Source organism: Homo sapiens, chromosome 17, assembly GCF_000001405.40.
Source record: "Homo sapiens chromosome 17, GRCh38.p14 Primary Assembly".
NCBI classification, from domain to species: Eukaryota; Metazoa; Chordata; class Mammalia; order Primates; family Hominidae; genus Homo; species Homo sapiens.
The window spans coordinates 64,925,820-64,941,892 of record NC_000017.11 but is presented as its reverse complement, the minus strand read 5'-3'; the positions used below and the strand labels follow the sequence as shown (position 1 = coordinate 64,941,892).

The 16,073-nt window shown below is 47.8% G+C and overlaps 1 annotated feature.

Annotated features, from left to right (window-relative positions):
- Nucleotides 11,808-12,102: a silencer, noted in NCBI's record as "tiled region #3243; K562 Repressive non-DNase unmatched - State 7:EnhWF". NCBI's record gives its function as "represses a minimal TATA promoter and a strong SV40 promoter by Sharpr-MPRA in K562 cells {active_cell/tissue: K562}" and the evidence as "EXISTENCE:reporter gene assay evidence [ECO:0000049][PMID:27701403]".

Genomic DNA, 16,073 nt, shown 5'->3' with positions numbered 1-16,073 from the left:
CAATAGAGACAGTGAGCTGTATTAACTTTTATGACTTATCCTCAGAAATCCTACACTGTCATTCTCTGTATATTCTATTTGTTGGGGATTTTATAGAAGCCCATTCAGGATAAAGGGGTGGAGAAAGGTCTGGAAGACCAATTTCAGTTGAAAATTTTGTTGAAGCAGTTTTTTATAGTCTACCACAGTGCACGTTCTTTTTTCTCTTTCTTCAGCTTGCTATAGAATCATAGAAAGCTATGCATTCTACCATGTACCATTCACCATGTGGGTCATTATTACTTCCTCTAAGCTAACAATTGCATTTATGAAACTATTGCTTTAGACATATTATTAAAAATCTGCTCCTTCTTTGAGCTCCATGTCACCTTGTATCAGCTTTGCTACTGCATTTAGCTTTGTCATTTACTATCTTCTTGGTTCCTCGTCATTAATTCATGGATACGCCTACTTGATAGTCTTTAAGGATGACTGCTCCAAGGTATAGCCAGCTCGCTGGCCAGCCCATCTACCCATCCACTTACCGATTCACCCATCCACCCACCCATCTACACACTGCCCACCCATCTACCCATCCACCTACCCATCTACCCAGCTAGCCATCTACACAATCACCCACCCATCTACCCATCTACCTACCCATCCACCTACCCATCTAGCTATCTACCCGTTCACCCACCTATCTACCCATCTACCTACTGATCCACCTACCCACCAACCCATCCACTCATCCACCTACCCATTTACTCATTCACCTGCCCAGGTAACCATCCACCTACCCATCCACTCATCCACCATCCACCTGCCTATCTGTCTGTCTATCTATCTATCTATCTATCTATCTATCTATCTATCTACCTAATCAGTCATTTATCTGCTGGTGCCTTAAGCGGTTATGTCTGTAGCTGCAGGAAACCATCCTCAGACTCCCTCCTGGGGACCAAGACAGCCACCGACGGAGCTCTGCCCAGGGCTGTGGACAGGCACCAAGCTTTTCTCTTGGTTAGCTCCCCCACGTCACAGTGCCTGAACCAGTGACCCCAGCTTCCCTTGTTTAGAGGAGCCAAACTCCTCTAAACAGATGAACAGCAGCAGCAAAGAGGATTGAACACCCCTCTGTCCCTCACCAGCCCTGAGTGGCTGTGACGAGCTGGGCTCGAGACTTACCAGGTGCTTGGTGAGGTCCCAGCTGTGGATGATCCTGGCCAGAATCACTGAGGCATCATCTTGGTGGCAGATGTCACAGTAATAGAGGCCAGAGAAGGCACAGAGCTTGGGTCGTACAAAGAAGCCGATCTGCTGGAAGCAGCCTGGGAGATGGGTAGAGAGTGAGTGGTATGGCCAGAGTCAGCTCCTAGTAACTTGGGAGCTTCTGTGGTGGAAAGGATCTGTTAATTTTTTTTAAAGGTAGGCACAAAGTCAAGAATAACCACCACTCATATTTCCACCACTCAGAACTCCCCCTACTAATTAATCTTTACAACAACACACTGTAAGAACTATCATTATTTTACAGCTGAAGAAATGGGTGCTCAGAGAGGTTAGGAAACCTGTCCGGTCACATAGTGATGAAGTGGTGTGGCTGGCATTCAGATCTGGGTTTGCCTGCTTCCTTGGTTTGCCTGCTTCCTGGGGAAGGCACACATGCTTGGTCTAATGCCCCCAGGCAGCCCCCGCACAGGGGCATAAGAGCTTCCGGGTGGTACACTGGAGGCAGATGGGTAGGTGACCAGGAGGGTCCCAGGTGGGTTCCATCTGCAGGGACCAGGCCTTTCAGAAGGCAGCTCTGAAGTCCTGTTTTCCATTGCTAAAGGGGCAGCGTGTTCCCACAAGTGTTATAAAACCCCATTCCAGAATGTCATCATAATCGTGCGCAGTCATTCAGGGAAGCACTTCTGGAAAAGTACTATATTGTCTCAAAACTGCCTACAGGCAGGTGAAAAATACTGTTTCACCTGTCAAATAGGAAAATATTTCCCTGAAAACTACGCTGTGCAAGTGATGATTATAGAGAACTCTTGATTCCACCTGTAGCTCCGAGCAAATCCAGCCCGATGAAGCCCCAGGTGTTTTAAATGGTCCTTCCAAAGGTCTTTACCCTCAGTAGTTGGTTTATGTAACAGCTCTGAGGGGCTTGACCAGATCTACTATTTGTTTTGTTTTGTTTTGTTTGTTTGTTTGTTTGTTTTGAGATGGAGTCTCCCTTTGTCGCCCAGGCTGGAGTGCAGTGGCGCGATCTCGGCTCACTGCAGCCTCAGCCTCCTGGGTTCAAGTGATTCTCCTATCTCAGCCTCCCGAGTAGCTGGGATTACAGGCACCCGCCACCATGCCCAGCTAATTTTTGTATTTTTATGTTGGCCAGGCTGGAGGATCTGCTATTTGTTTAATGTCCTCCAGTGCTTCCTTTTTTTTTTTTTTTTTTTTTGAGACAGAGTCTTGCTCTGTCACCCAGGCTGGAGTACAGTGGTATGATCTCAGCTCACCGCAACCTCTGACTCTTGGGCTCAAGTGCCTCGGCCTCCCCAGGAGCTGGGATTACAGACGTGCACCACCACACCCAGCTGATTATTGTATTTCCAGTAGAGATAGGGTTTTGCCATGTTGGCTGGTTCCAGAGCCTGTGTTCTGCTCCATTACCCTTGTTGCCTGTGTCTAGTGTCCCTGCTGCTGGCTCAGCAATGCCAGCCTCCTCTAGGTCCACCCGTCCACTCGGGCCCCAGAATGGAAGCAGCAGAGTAGGGGCTGTGGCGAGCAATAAGTGGCTGGGGGACAGGGGCCGCGGTCAGGGCTGGCCACGGGAAGCAGACAGGCAGCCAGCAGGGGGCAGGGCAGTCTGCACAGTGTCTGATGCCTCAGGACTGTGGAGCAAGGCTGGCTTTGGCCCCCTTGGTTGGATAGTTCTTACAGTGTAGAGGTGTCTCCACAGCGGGGGGCCAGTGGGAGCGGCCAGTGGGTGTGCCCTGGGCAAAAGGCAAAGGCCCTGACTCCCCCAGGGGCAGGCAGAAGGGTCCCTGGGCCTTGGGACCAGAGGGCGGGCTCTGCTGCTCACTAGCTGCCTCACCCTGACCTTCACCTAATTTCTTCAAGCTTCCATTTCAGTGTCTGTAAAATTCAGCTACTACCAGCTATTTTTGTGGGGTTATTACAAAGCTTAAATGAGACAAGGTTCTGCAAGTACTGTGCAAATTATGAAATACAACCCAGATGCCAGTGGTTGGTGTCTGCCACTGAGCCATGCCTGCTGGGTAGAAAGGAAACCCAAGCTCCCTTGTCTCTAAAAACAAAAACAAAAACAGAAACAAAAAATAAAAACAAAACCCCACAAGACTCCAGACCTAGTCATCAGAGTAGCTCATGAGATGAAACCAGTTTTCCAACTTTGCTTTGTAGATATCCTGGTTCTAGAACTGAATGGAGCTTGGTGAATAATCAAGAAACTACACAGTCAGGTTCTTTGCAGAATTGCTTTTTCTGAGCTGAGACATGAGGTCATGCTGCTGGCCTTCATCATAATAATGCCACCTGAAGCAGCCCCATTAAACCTCCCTGGAGGTGTTTTGCAGGGTACCTGACTTGTCCTTCTAGATCCCATGTTCACAGAGCTACACACAAGAAATTTAAGAGCGAAGGGTTAGGAAAAAGCTTTGATTCCCTCAACATCTGGGTGGGTTTTATTATTTTTTCAACAACAAAGAGACATGCACCTGATAGCCCCTCTCTTTTCACCTTACCTAGCAGGAAAGTCAGAGCTAAATTTTCTTCAGCAACCACACCTTAGCACCTGTACATCATCTGCCCCCTAATTCCTCTCCATCTTGAGTCCCATCTCTAACTTGTTTTTTGTGGTCCTGGCTTTTCAGTGAATTTGCCAGTTCACCACGTGTGTTTCTGTTGTGATCTGCCTCAAACCTTCTAGGGACTGAGGTCAGGGTAAGAGTAGTTTAAAAACAAGATAAGACGTGGACAGTGAAGGGTGTGGCATTGGGAGTACCCATCCTGGGTCTTCTCTCCCTTCCTGTGGGGGTAACCTGGTAGTCTTGCCCACTGCCCCGGTTTATTCACTGGGGATGCAGTCCAGACAGAAATGGGGCTTTGGCTCAGGGACAGGGAAGGGCACCTGGGGAGAAAGAGGTTTCCCAACCAGGCCTGTCACAGTAAGCAGCCAAGGACACGGAGCCTCCTGTCTCTCTCAGGCTGGGACGAGGGCTGCCATTCTAGGCATGAGAATTTCCTCTTCCAGAGGCCCTACTCCTCACCACCCTCCAGGGCAAGGATTATTATTAACTCAGCTCCTGGAGGGGGAACTGCAGAATCTGTGATGCTAGAAACACAGGACAGGTCCCCTGGGGCGGGGATGCAGCTTTGGCCTTGAGCCCTGAGAATGGTAGCCCCAATTCTTCCCAGGTCCTCCTACTTGGGGCTTGCCTACAGTAAGGGTCCCAGAGCACTGCCAGCAACTGCACCAATATCACCTCTCTGGCTCTGGACTCTTACCTCTATTAATACAGCCAAAAGCTGCACTCAGTGTTGGCTCATAGGGAATTAAGGGTCAAAAACCCCCAGGTCATTTCCAGGTCACTAGTTTCAGAGGGCTGGCAGGCATCACTAAGCCCCTTCCCTCCTTCTCCCCACCCCCACCACTCACCTCCAGCACGTTCTTCTTACTGGATTTGTTTTAGGGGCCCAGCAGAGAGTGGTGCTCTTCAGCTCCACTGTGTAGTCGGGGGTAGAAAACTTGGAAGGCTGCCTCTGTGGGAGAGGGAGGAAGGTCACAGGGAGCCCTCGGCTCAGATGTGTCTGCTGTGGCACTCTGACTCCAGGAATAGGATGGGCATGGCCAGGAAACAACTCTGGGGAAAGAGCTCCAAGGGTTCCTGAACCCAGAGACCCTGATCTGTGAGGCCCAGAGGGAGGGGGCGTTAACCAAAGCAGTCCCTCCCTCATCTCAGCATGGTTGGGGAGGGGGCAGCGACCCTTGCCCTTAGAGGGAGAGTGGGTTTGGGAGTCAGATAAACTGGGTTCAGAGCTTGACTGTACCATTTACAAGCTGGGTGACCCTAGCCAAATCCCCTCATCTCCCTGAGCCTCAGTTTCCCCATCTGTAAAATGAAGATAGCCCCTCAGGTAAGTGAGGAGGTCATGTGGCACCTGGCCGGGCAGTGCTCATTGAACAGCGATTCCTTCCCATCCCTAATGCCTGGTGGTGCCCCCAGATCTGCAGGCAGGCCCTGAAGTTTCTGATGCAGATCTGGGCCCAGCCCCTCATCAACCTGCAGATGGCAAACGCATCTCTGTACGAGCATGTGGAGCGGATGCACCTCATCGGGAGGAGCTGGGAGCAGCTAAAGCTCCTGGGGGATTACCTGGGCCCGTGCTGGAGCGGTGCCCTGAAGGAGCTCAGGAGGAGGTGAGCACCCTTTACGTGCATGCACACGAACACACACACACACACACACGAACACACACACATACACATGAACACACACGAACACACACACATGAATACACACATACACATGCGCACACACACCCACACACATAAATGTACACACAAATGCACAGACTTGCACACACATGCACATGCACACAAATGTACACACATGCAGGCAGTCGTGCACACACACACACACACGGGGGCAGTGCCCAGGGCAAGGCGTCCACTTGGAGGAAACATGGGCAGAGATCTTCCCATTGGGCCTGGGAAATGATCACATCTTTTGGGGGTGATTTTGGGTTTTTTTTCACGTATCTATTTGTTCACTCAAAAACATGGACTGAGAACATACTAAGCACTGCACACCTGGCAAGGCATGTGGGCTCCAACACTGAGCAGGGCAGAGCCAGGGCCGACCCGCTGGAAGCCTCTGGCCTGGCAGGGAAGACAAGTGGGAAAGCCAGCAACTCCATCCGGGGGTGAGGGTGAGAGGGAGATAGGTTGGAAAGCCAGCAACTCCATCCGGGGGTGAGGGTGAGAGGGGAGATAGGTGGGAATGCCAGCAACTCCATCCGGGGGTGAGGGTGAGAGGGGAGATAGGTGGGAATGCCAGCAACTCCATCCGGGGGTGAGGGTGAGAGGGAGACAGGTGGGAAAACCAGCAACTCCATCCGGGGGTGAGGGTGAGAGGCAGGACGTCCTGGAAGCACAGAGGCTTACATCCAGCCCAGATCAGAGGAGGACAAGGCAGGAAGGACTTCCTGGAGGAAGTGACTTCTAAGGTGAGACCTGAAAAATGACGAATTAGAAAGGGGAAGCAAAGGGGAAAAGGGCGTTCCAGACAGAAGGAATAGCACGCACAGGCCATGAACTGTCGGTGGAAAGCACAGGGAGAACTTTGGCTACAGTGAGGAGGGAAGCGGGGAGTGTGGCGAGAGGCAGGCGAGGTCCAGATATTCCCACCTCTTCCCTGTCCAGCCAGTTGTCTGGCCCATGCCAGCCTCCCTCCTGAAATTCTCCAAAGAAGAGGTGATCAGGGCGGGGCCCTCAGGATGCCCTTTAGGAAGCTTCTCTTACCCAGGGCCTGGGGCCTTTGGTGCTCAGGAATGGGATGTGATGCTGGGCTTCAGCAGGGACTTAGGCCTCTCCATGTCTGTCATAAACGCTTCCTAGTCCTCAGGTCACAGCCCAGGCTACAGTCTTCCCAGGGCTGTGCTCTCCTGGCACCCTCAGGAGGGCAGACCTCAGGCGGAGAAGCCTGCCGGTGCCTTCTCCCCAGAATGGGCTTCGAGTCCACCTCTGCTGGGTTTCTAGGGTCAGGAACCAGTTCACAAGCCCCTCCAGGTTCCCCCATCTGGCCTTCCCTCCCCACAGGGCTGGCCTAGACAGTGCCTCTCTGAAGACTGCCTCCTCCATCCTGGCTGCAGTGCTCCCAGAGCCGGGCTTCCTGGGGGCCAGGGTGTGCCCCAGGCAGGTCCCCAGGGGCTCTCAAGGGGTGCTGCGGGGGCTCTCCCCTAGGCAAAGAGGAGAATCTGGCCCCACAGCTGCCAGCTGAGCCTTGGTCTCCTCTGCAGGGCCTGGAAGAACAGAAAGCCCTCCGGGGACCACCATGTGGGACCCTAGACCCTAGAAGGCTTCGCCCCAGGAGGCTCGCCCATCCCAAGCATCCGTGGGTGACTGGGTCTCCACCTTTTGGCCATGCTGACTCACTCCCTACCTCTGAGAGTCCATGACCCAGAGCTCCAGAGAGACTATCCTCCTGCCCACCTAACCAGGTGGCGAAATCTCTGGGGTCAGGTGGGGCCTTATCACCCTCCTTGGTCAAGGAGCCAGGTATCTGCACAGGCCTACAGACCTGTGTAGACCAGGTGCCTGTGGTATGGGTTGTGGGCCCCAGCCCCATTCACCCGTCCCCGCCCTGCTGAGAGTTTGTTCATGGGCTTTACAGACCTGTCTCTGTGGGCACCAGGGGCACCCCTGTCTCTCTCTCCCTGGCCCTCCTGCTCCATCCCTGGGCAGCAGCGCTGTACTCCTGCTATGCACTCAGCCTGCTTCCTGTGCCTGTGGAAGTCCCTTGGAAACAGCATGGGGCAGGGGAAAGAGTGTGGGAGGCCCTCACCCACTGTGAGTCAGGAAAGTTGCTTCACTTCTCCGGGTCCAGCTTTCCCGTCTGTAAAATGGGCCAGTGATTCCTCTGTTCCTGTGGCCTCCTGAGCAGTGGTGAGGGCTGCATGAGGGACCCAGAGTCTGGGCCACAGATGGCCCTGGATCAGCATCGTGTGTGCCCTGAGGGCATCTGATCCAGCCTTGGCAGGGGCCAGAGGAGCTCCCAGAGGAGATGGCATCTGAGCTGAGGGCATGCAGAGTTCTTTTCCATTTTTCTTCTAACATGTTTTTCTTCTTTACAAAGGTCAATCTTCCAAGGGAGGAAAATTTATAAAGGGAATAAAGAGACCATTCAATCAGCCCTTCTCAGAGCCCACCACCACCTGCTTCTGCACCTCACTCCATCCACACACACGTGTTGCCACACCAGTGGCATCGTGTATCTATTGAACTGGGGCTCAGCCTCCTGTGTGGCTGGGACTGCAGGCATGCGCCACTATGCCCACCTAATTTTTGTATTTTTAGCAGGGACGAGGTTTTGCCATGTTGGCCAGGATGGTCTCGAAATGCTGACCTCAAATGTTCCATCCATCTTTGCCTTCCAAAGTGCTAGGATTACAGGCATAAGCCATTTCCTGCCTGGCCAATAGCACATGCTTTTAAAAAATACCTGCCAAGAAAGGGTACCCTGAGTCCTTACATGACTGAATATGTATTTATTCTGACTTTACTTGACTGTTTGGCTGCACATAGACTTCTAGGTTGAAAATCATTTTTTCTTAAACTTTTAGATTTATTCTTCCATAATCTTCTAGCACTAAATGTTGTAGCAGAAAAATCTGACACCAATCTAATTCTTGTTTTATAGATTGTCTGTTTTATCTAAAAGTTTCTTTTATTCTTAATGTTTGGAAATTTTATAGCGATGTATGTAGGGGTGAGTCTTTTTCCATTTGTCCACCTGGTTTATAATGTTTATCAACTGACCCCTTGCTCCCCCCACCCCTCATAGAGTGCAGGGGCTTTAATTTATTCACTGCTAAATTCCCTGTATCTGGCACACATCAGGTTCTCAATAGTCATTTGCTGAGTGAATGAATTTATTCTGCTAGAATTTAAAGTCCTGTGACTCGCATCAGCTCAGAAAATTTTTCTTTTATTCTTGTCTTTTTTTTTTGAGACAGGGTCTCAATCTGTCATTCAGGCTGGAGAGCGGTGGTGTAATCACAGCTCACTGCAGCCTTGAACTCCTGGGCACAAGTGATCACAGCTCACTGCAGCCTTGAACTTCTGGGCACAAGTGATCTTCCTGTCATAGCCTCCTGAGTAGCTAGGACTATGGGTGCACGCCACTATGCCTGGTTAATTTTTAAAATTTTTGTAGAGACATGGTCTTGTTATGTTGGTAAGGTTGGGAATTTTTTTTTCTTCTTTTGTGAGAGTCTCACTGTCACCCAGGCTGGAGTGCAGTGGTGTGATCTTGGCACACTGCAACCTCTGCCTCCTGAGTTCAAGCAATTCTCGTGCCTCAGCCACCTGAGTAGCTGGGATTACAGGTGTGCATCACCACACCTGGCTAATTTTTGTATTTTTAGTAGAGATGGGGTTTTGCCATGTTGGCCAGGCTGGTCTCAAACTCCTGACCTCAGGTGATCCACCTGCCTCGGCCTCCCAAAGTGCTGGGATTACAGGCATGAGCCATCACGCCTAGCCTAGTTTTACAGATTTTGTAGTTTCTTGTTTTTGGTCTATAACCTGCTGCCTACTTTTCTTGCTTCCTTGCCTATATATATATTCATTTATTTTTTAATTCCTTTGCTGAGAATAAAAATTGGATACTTTAGCTGGGCTTATCCTTCAGTTTTTTTGTTTTTGTTTTTTTTTTTGAGACGGAGTCTCGCTCTGTCTCCCAGGCTGGAGTGCAGTGGCGCAATCTCGGCTCACTGCAAGCTCTGTCTCCTGGGTTCATGCCATTCTCCTGCCTCAGCCTCCCGAGTAGCTGGGACTACAGTCGTCTGCCACCACGCCCGCCTAATTTTTTGTTATTTTTAGTAGAGACGGGGTTTCACCGTGTTAGCCACGACGGTCTCGATCTCCTGACTTCGTGCTCCGCCCCACTTGGCCTCCCAAAGTGCTGGGAGTACAGGCGTGATCCACTGCACCTGGCCTCAGTTTTTTTTTTTTTTTAAACAGGCAAGTTCTTGCTGTGTCACCCAGGCTGGGGTGGAGTGGCTCGATCATAGTTCACTGCAGCCTCAAACTCCTGTACTCAAGTGATTCTCCTGCCTCAGCCTCCCAAGTAGCTGGGACTATAGGCACTCATCACCAAGCCTGGTTAATTTTTTTTTTTTTGGTAGTAGAGACAAGGTCTCATATTGTGGCCCAGGCTGGTCTTGAACTCCTGGCTTCAAGCTATTCTCCCCACTCGGCTTCCCAAAGTACTGGGATTACAGGCATAAGTCACCTTGCCTGGCCTTTCACTTTTATTTTAGGTAAACTGCCTTTAAAATACCCTCTTAGAAACCATCTTCCTTGCTACAGAAGAGAGAAAGCACCCCGTGGCTTTTCCTCAAAGGAAGATCACTGGGGGGGCTGAGCGCGGTGGCTCATGCCTGTTATCCCAGCATTTTGGGAGGCCGAAGCGAGCGGATCACCTGAGGTCAGGAGTTTGAGACCATCCTGGCCAACATAGTGAAACCTCGTCTCTACTAAAACTACAAAAATTAGTCGGGTGTGATGGCACGTGCCTGTAGTCCCAACTACGCGGGAGGCTGAGGCAGGAGAATCGCTTGAACCTGGGAGGCAGAGGTTGTATTGAGGTGAGATCACACCACTGCACTCCAGCCTGGCAACAGGGTGAGACTCCATCTCAAAAAAATAAAATAAAATAACCGAGTATGCACAATTCAACTGTAATAGATACTATCAATTTACCCTCCAAAGTGACCATACCAATTTATACCCCCACCAGCCTTGCTAAAAGTATTCTAAGATATTAATTTTGTGGTTAATAAAATATCCACTGAGACTTCTGAAAAAACTTCATATTCAACTCATGTACTTACCCATAGGTTCCTTAATAACACCATAATAATCTGGTGCATCATTAGGGTCTACTGGTTCAAGGAAAGGCCGGGACATCTTATGGGCCTATAATGAAAAAGTAGGCATTCTTATTGTCAGTGAAAACACTAATTCCATTTAAGATTCCCAGTTGAGTCACTACATCAATGAACCCAAAAGTCAGTTTTAAATGCGATACATGAAATACTTTACATTAGGTGATTTCTGCTCTAGTAATAAGTTACCTAAGATGAGCTTCCTTTGCAATAATGGTACTCAAAGCCTGGTCGGAAGACCTTGGTGTGGTGAAGGGGTGGGTTGCCCCTCCACACCTGTGGGTGTTTCTCGTTAAGTGGAACGAGAGACTTGGAAAAGAAAAAGACACAAAGTATAGAGAAAGAAATAAGGGGGCCCAGGGTACCTGCATTCAGCATATGGAGGATGCTGCCGGCCTCTGAGTTCCCTTTGTATTTATTGATCATTCTTGGGTGTTTCTCGGAGAGGGGGATGTGGCAGGGTCATGGGATAATAGTGGAGAGAAGGTCAGCAGATAAACACGTGAACAAAGGTCTCTGCATCATAGAAAAGATAAAGAATTAAGTGCTGTGCTTTAGATACACATACACATAAACATCTCAATGCCTTACAAAGCAGTATTGCTGCCCGCATGTCCCACCTCCAGCCTTAAGGCGGTTTTTCCCTATCTCAGTAGATGGAACAGACAATTGGGTTTTTTACCGAGACATTCCATTGCCCAGGGCCGGGCAGGAGACAGATGCCTTCCTCTTGTCTCAACTGCAAAGAGGCATTCCTTCCTCTTATACTAATCCTCCTCAGCACAGACCCTTTAAGGGTGTCGGGCTGGGGGACGGTCAGGTCTTTCCCTTCCCATGAGGCCATATTTCAGACTATCACATGGGGAGAAACCTTGGACAATACCTGGCTTTCCTAGGCAGAGGTCCCTGCGGCCTTCCACAGTGGTTGTGTCCCTGGGCACTTGAGATTAGGGAGTGGTGATGACTCTTAAGGAGCATGCTGCCTTCAAGCATCTGTTTAACAAAGCACATCTTGCACAGCCCTTAATTCATTTAACCCTGAGTTGACACAGCACATGTCTCAGAGAGCACGGGGTTGGGGGTAAGGTTATAAATTAACAGCATCTCAAGGCAGAAGAATTTTTCTTAGTACAGAACAAAATGGAGTCTCCTATGTCTACTTCTTTCTACACAGACACAGTAACAATCTGATCTCTCTTTCTTTTCCCCACAGTGTGGGGGGTGGAACACAAGTTTAGAAGTCACAAAAGCAGTATTCTGGGCCCTACATGGTGAGCTGTCACTGAGTGATGCTGGCATTGCAACTGCTTCTGTAAACAGGTGGGATGGGTTCAAAGTGTGGAATCATTACCACAGCTGATTAATGATGAGGTGGCAGAGATGTGATGTTAGATAACATTCAACCACACATTGAGACTACGATTCCCTTTTTAGTTTCTTCAATTCTTGTGATTATGATAAAAATAGGAGAAAGTTTCAATCCAATGCACTATATCCTTTTATTTCCCCCCATTGTTTTGAGACAGGGTCTCGCTCTGTCATCCAGGCTGGAGTGGAGTGGCACGATCATAGCTCACTGTAGCCTCCTGTGCTCAAGTGATCCTCTCACCTCAGCCTCCCGAGTAGCTGGATAAACAAGTGCGTGCCAACATGCCCAGCTAATTTTTTATTTTTATTTTTTGTAGAGATGGGGTCTCACTTTGTTGCCCAGATTGGTCTCTAACTAAGTGACTCAAGTGATCCTCCTGCCTTGGCCTCCCAAAGTGCTGGGATTATAGGGGTGAGCAACCACACTGGCCTTCTATGTCTTCAATACATCTGTATCACTTGCTAATCCTGCAAACCATACCTATCCTGTTTTTCTTTTCTTTCCTTTTTTTTTTTTTGAGACAGAGTCTCGCACTGTCACCCGAGCTGGAGTGCCATGGCTCTATCTTGGCTCACTGCAACCTCTGCTTCCTGTGTTCAAGCGATTCTCCTGCCTCAGCCTCCCTAGTAGCTGGGATTACAGGCTCACGCCACCACACCCGGCTAGTTTTTTGTATTTTTAGTAGAGATGGGGTTTCACCATGTTGGCCAGTCTGGTCTCAAACTCCTGACCTCATGATTTGCCCACCTCAGCCCCCCAAAGTGCTGGGATTACAGGTGTGAGCCCCCGTACCCAGCCCCCTTTCTGTCTTTCATAAGGAAAATAATAACTATAATCTAATCATACTGTTTCTCAATCCATGGGAGTGAGAGGAAGTTTCTTTAAAAATAAAATGTATAAAGAAGTGAGTCACGTTAGATTATCTGAGTGTTAGATAAGCTGAGGTGGTGTGGGGATATGATAAAGCTCATGACACTGGTATGTGAAGGACTGAAGTTTGTCAAGCCCTTCACTAGACTAGCTGAGAGTCAGTAAATAATCACTCTAAGATTGGAAACTTGAAATCCTAACATTGGAAACTTGAAATCCTAGAAATGCTTCCAAAATTATGCCGGCTGATTTCATTTTCAAATGCTGCACACAGAGGGGCTCTCATCTGTAAGGAACGGAGCACCCTCTTCAACTCCTCATCATCCTTCTCTGTTAGTGGTGTGAGCACTGTCATGGCATCCTCTGTTGACTGGCACTGTGGACAGACATACTCATCAATGAGCTCTGCCTCACTTTGCAAGATGCCAATGCAGCACCCATGGTACCAATTCTGACACCGATCACGGCCAATAAAAAATCTGCAAGATCTGAAATGGAAATGTGAGTTCAAAACAGATGGGATGATGTTACTTATAATAAAGCATGCACCTGAAAATTTGCTAAACCCTGGGATATAAAATAGTTTTAGTATTATGGTTTTAATACTTTCAAGATCGACATTCCAGTACATTAATTTAGTATTTTTGATGTTAAGAACAAGCAGTAAAAAAATTTATAAGAACACTGTAATTTTGGAGAACCAATTTAAAGATAAATATGAAACATTCAATTGATTTTAAAGCTGAAAACAAGTCACAAATCTTTCAACTAGTACTGTACCATATGGGAGTTCAAAATCCTGTAAGGTAATAACAGAGTCTCAAAGCTTATACCCAAATTAGTGTTTTTCTAACCTGCAATAAAGCACCATTTCAAACACTGATAAAGTCCAAACAAGTCAGGCTATTTTAATCTCATTAATTTCTATGTTACATATTGAAGAATCAAATCTACCATTAAACCACATTTTCCCCAATGTGTCTCAAACATTCACTATGAAGCAAGATAAATTTTGAAGGGTAGGTAAAAAGGGAAAAAGAGAAAAAAAAAATGAAAAGGAATTTGTAACGTAAGTGTATAACAAATGTAGAAAAAATCTGCTTTTTATTTTAAAGTAAATAAGTAACCAGTCAGAGCAATTTGGCTTCCTAAATTATTAAATGTGATGCTCTTATCAGAACTCACTGTGACTCATCATAAGGTGTTCTGCAGATACAGTACAATTCCTCACTGCTGCCCTCTTGTGCCTGTTTACAATCATTACAGATGTACACATCCATTTTCTTAGCCTCCTTTTCTGCGATGCCAACACATTCTCCATAATACCAGTTAGTACAAAGATCACAGCCAATATAGAACCTAAAAGTATTCACAATGAAAATGACAATGTAGTTGTCGTTTTGAGCTGCATGGTACTTAAATCTGTCTTCCCTGCCTTGCTTCATTTTTTTACAGTGTAACTTCCTGCTATGAGTCAGCTAAACATTCCTGAATCCAACCATTCTACCCCTGGCAAACTCCAGTATCTGATGCTCTATCACATGTGGAAACATAAAGTCACTCACATCAGTTTCAACAAGTACACTGCTTAGTGAAATATGGGTCTTTAAAAACATACTGGAATTTGAAAAAAGAAACAACACATTGATGGTAATGTCTTCCTCTGAATGAATGTGTGTAAAACTGTAACAAGCACAAAAACCAAAGCCAAAGAATCAAAGACTTACATCTGTCAAACCTATTCCACAGAAGCCATTTCAATATCAGGGCTATTTCTTAGATAGGTTTAAAAATGTATCTCACAATTTAAATTTGAAAACAAAGCAAAGCGCAAACACCAAGTAGAAGTTACACTACAAGGACCATGCAGGTCAGCCAGGTGTAGAAGATAAATGGTCAAAATATGCTATGAAGAAGAAAACTAAGAAAGGTACATAGAGCAATTCAATCTCTACCAGGTTTTCTGAATAAACATTGGAATTTAATCGAATTTAAAATAATTTCTCATAATGGAATATGGCATGGGCCAGTTTTTCAGTTAATATAATGTTTGTGACAATGTGGGCAGCGGCCTGGCTAATTAACGGGTAGGGAACATGGAAGGAGCTGCTTCAGTTCAACATCTGGGACATGGTATGGGGAAGGATGCAAAGATAGTTATCCAGAATCTGTCTACACTGCTTGGCAGGGTCTACACTGCCTGGCAAGGCGGAGCTGTGTAAGTGTGTGATTGTGGAGTGCACAGTGGCCTCTGTAATAAAAGACCTAATGACAAAAGAAAAAGTAAATGTAACAAACGCTTATACAGTGTGTCTACAAGTGTTGATAGGCACAGTGTAGGAACATCATGTCAAAGTCATAGTGAGAATTACCATGAATCACAGGGAACCAGGCTGGCCTTGCTGATACCATTGGCACTCCTAGCTCTACCAAGGCATTTCTTGGTAGATTCACCTAGAGGAATGGAAGTCGTCCTCAAGCTTCAAATTGACCTGCTTCATGAATGTGAAGGAATAATATACGGTTATGTAGTTTATCCTGTTACCACTAACTTTTTTCTTTTTTCTTTTGTCTCGCTGTATAACCCAGGCTGCAGGGCAGGGGCAGGATCACGGCCCCCTGCAGCCTGGACCTCCCAGGCTCACATGATCCTCCCACCTCAGCCTCCCGAGTAGCTGGGACTACAGACGTGCACCACCAGGCCAGGCTTTTTTTTTTTTTTTTTTTTTTTTTTTGACAGAGCCTTGCTCTATCACCCAGGCTGGAGTACAGTGGCATGATCTCGGCTCACTGCAACCTCTGTCTCCTGGCTTCAAGCAATTCTCTTGCCTCAGCTTCCCAAGTAGCTGGGATTACAGGTGTGTGCCACCACATCTGGCTAATTTTTGCATTTTTGGTTGTGCCACGTTGGCCAGGCTGGTCTCAAACTCCTGACTTCAGGCAATCCACCTGCCTTTGCCTCCCAAAGTCCTGAGATTACAGGTGTGAGCCACAGGGCCCAGCCTCTTTTCATATTTTTAAAAAAAAAGTTTTAACGAGCAGTGAGGACGACCAGAGGTCACTTTCGTCACCATCTTGGTTTTGGTCGGCTTCTTTACTGCATCTTGTTTTTTCTTTTTTTTTTTAAGACTGGGTCTCACTCTGTCACCCAGGTTAGAGTGTAGTGGCACAATCT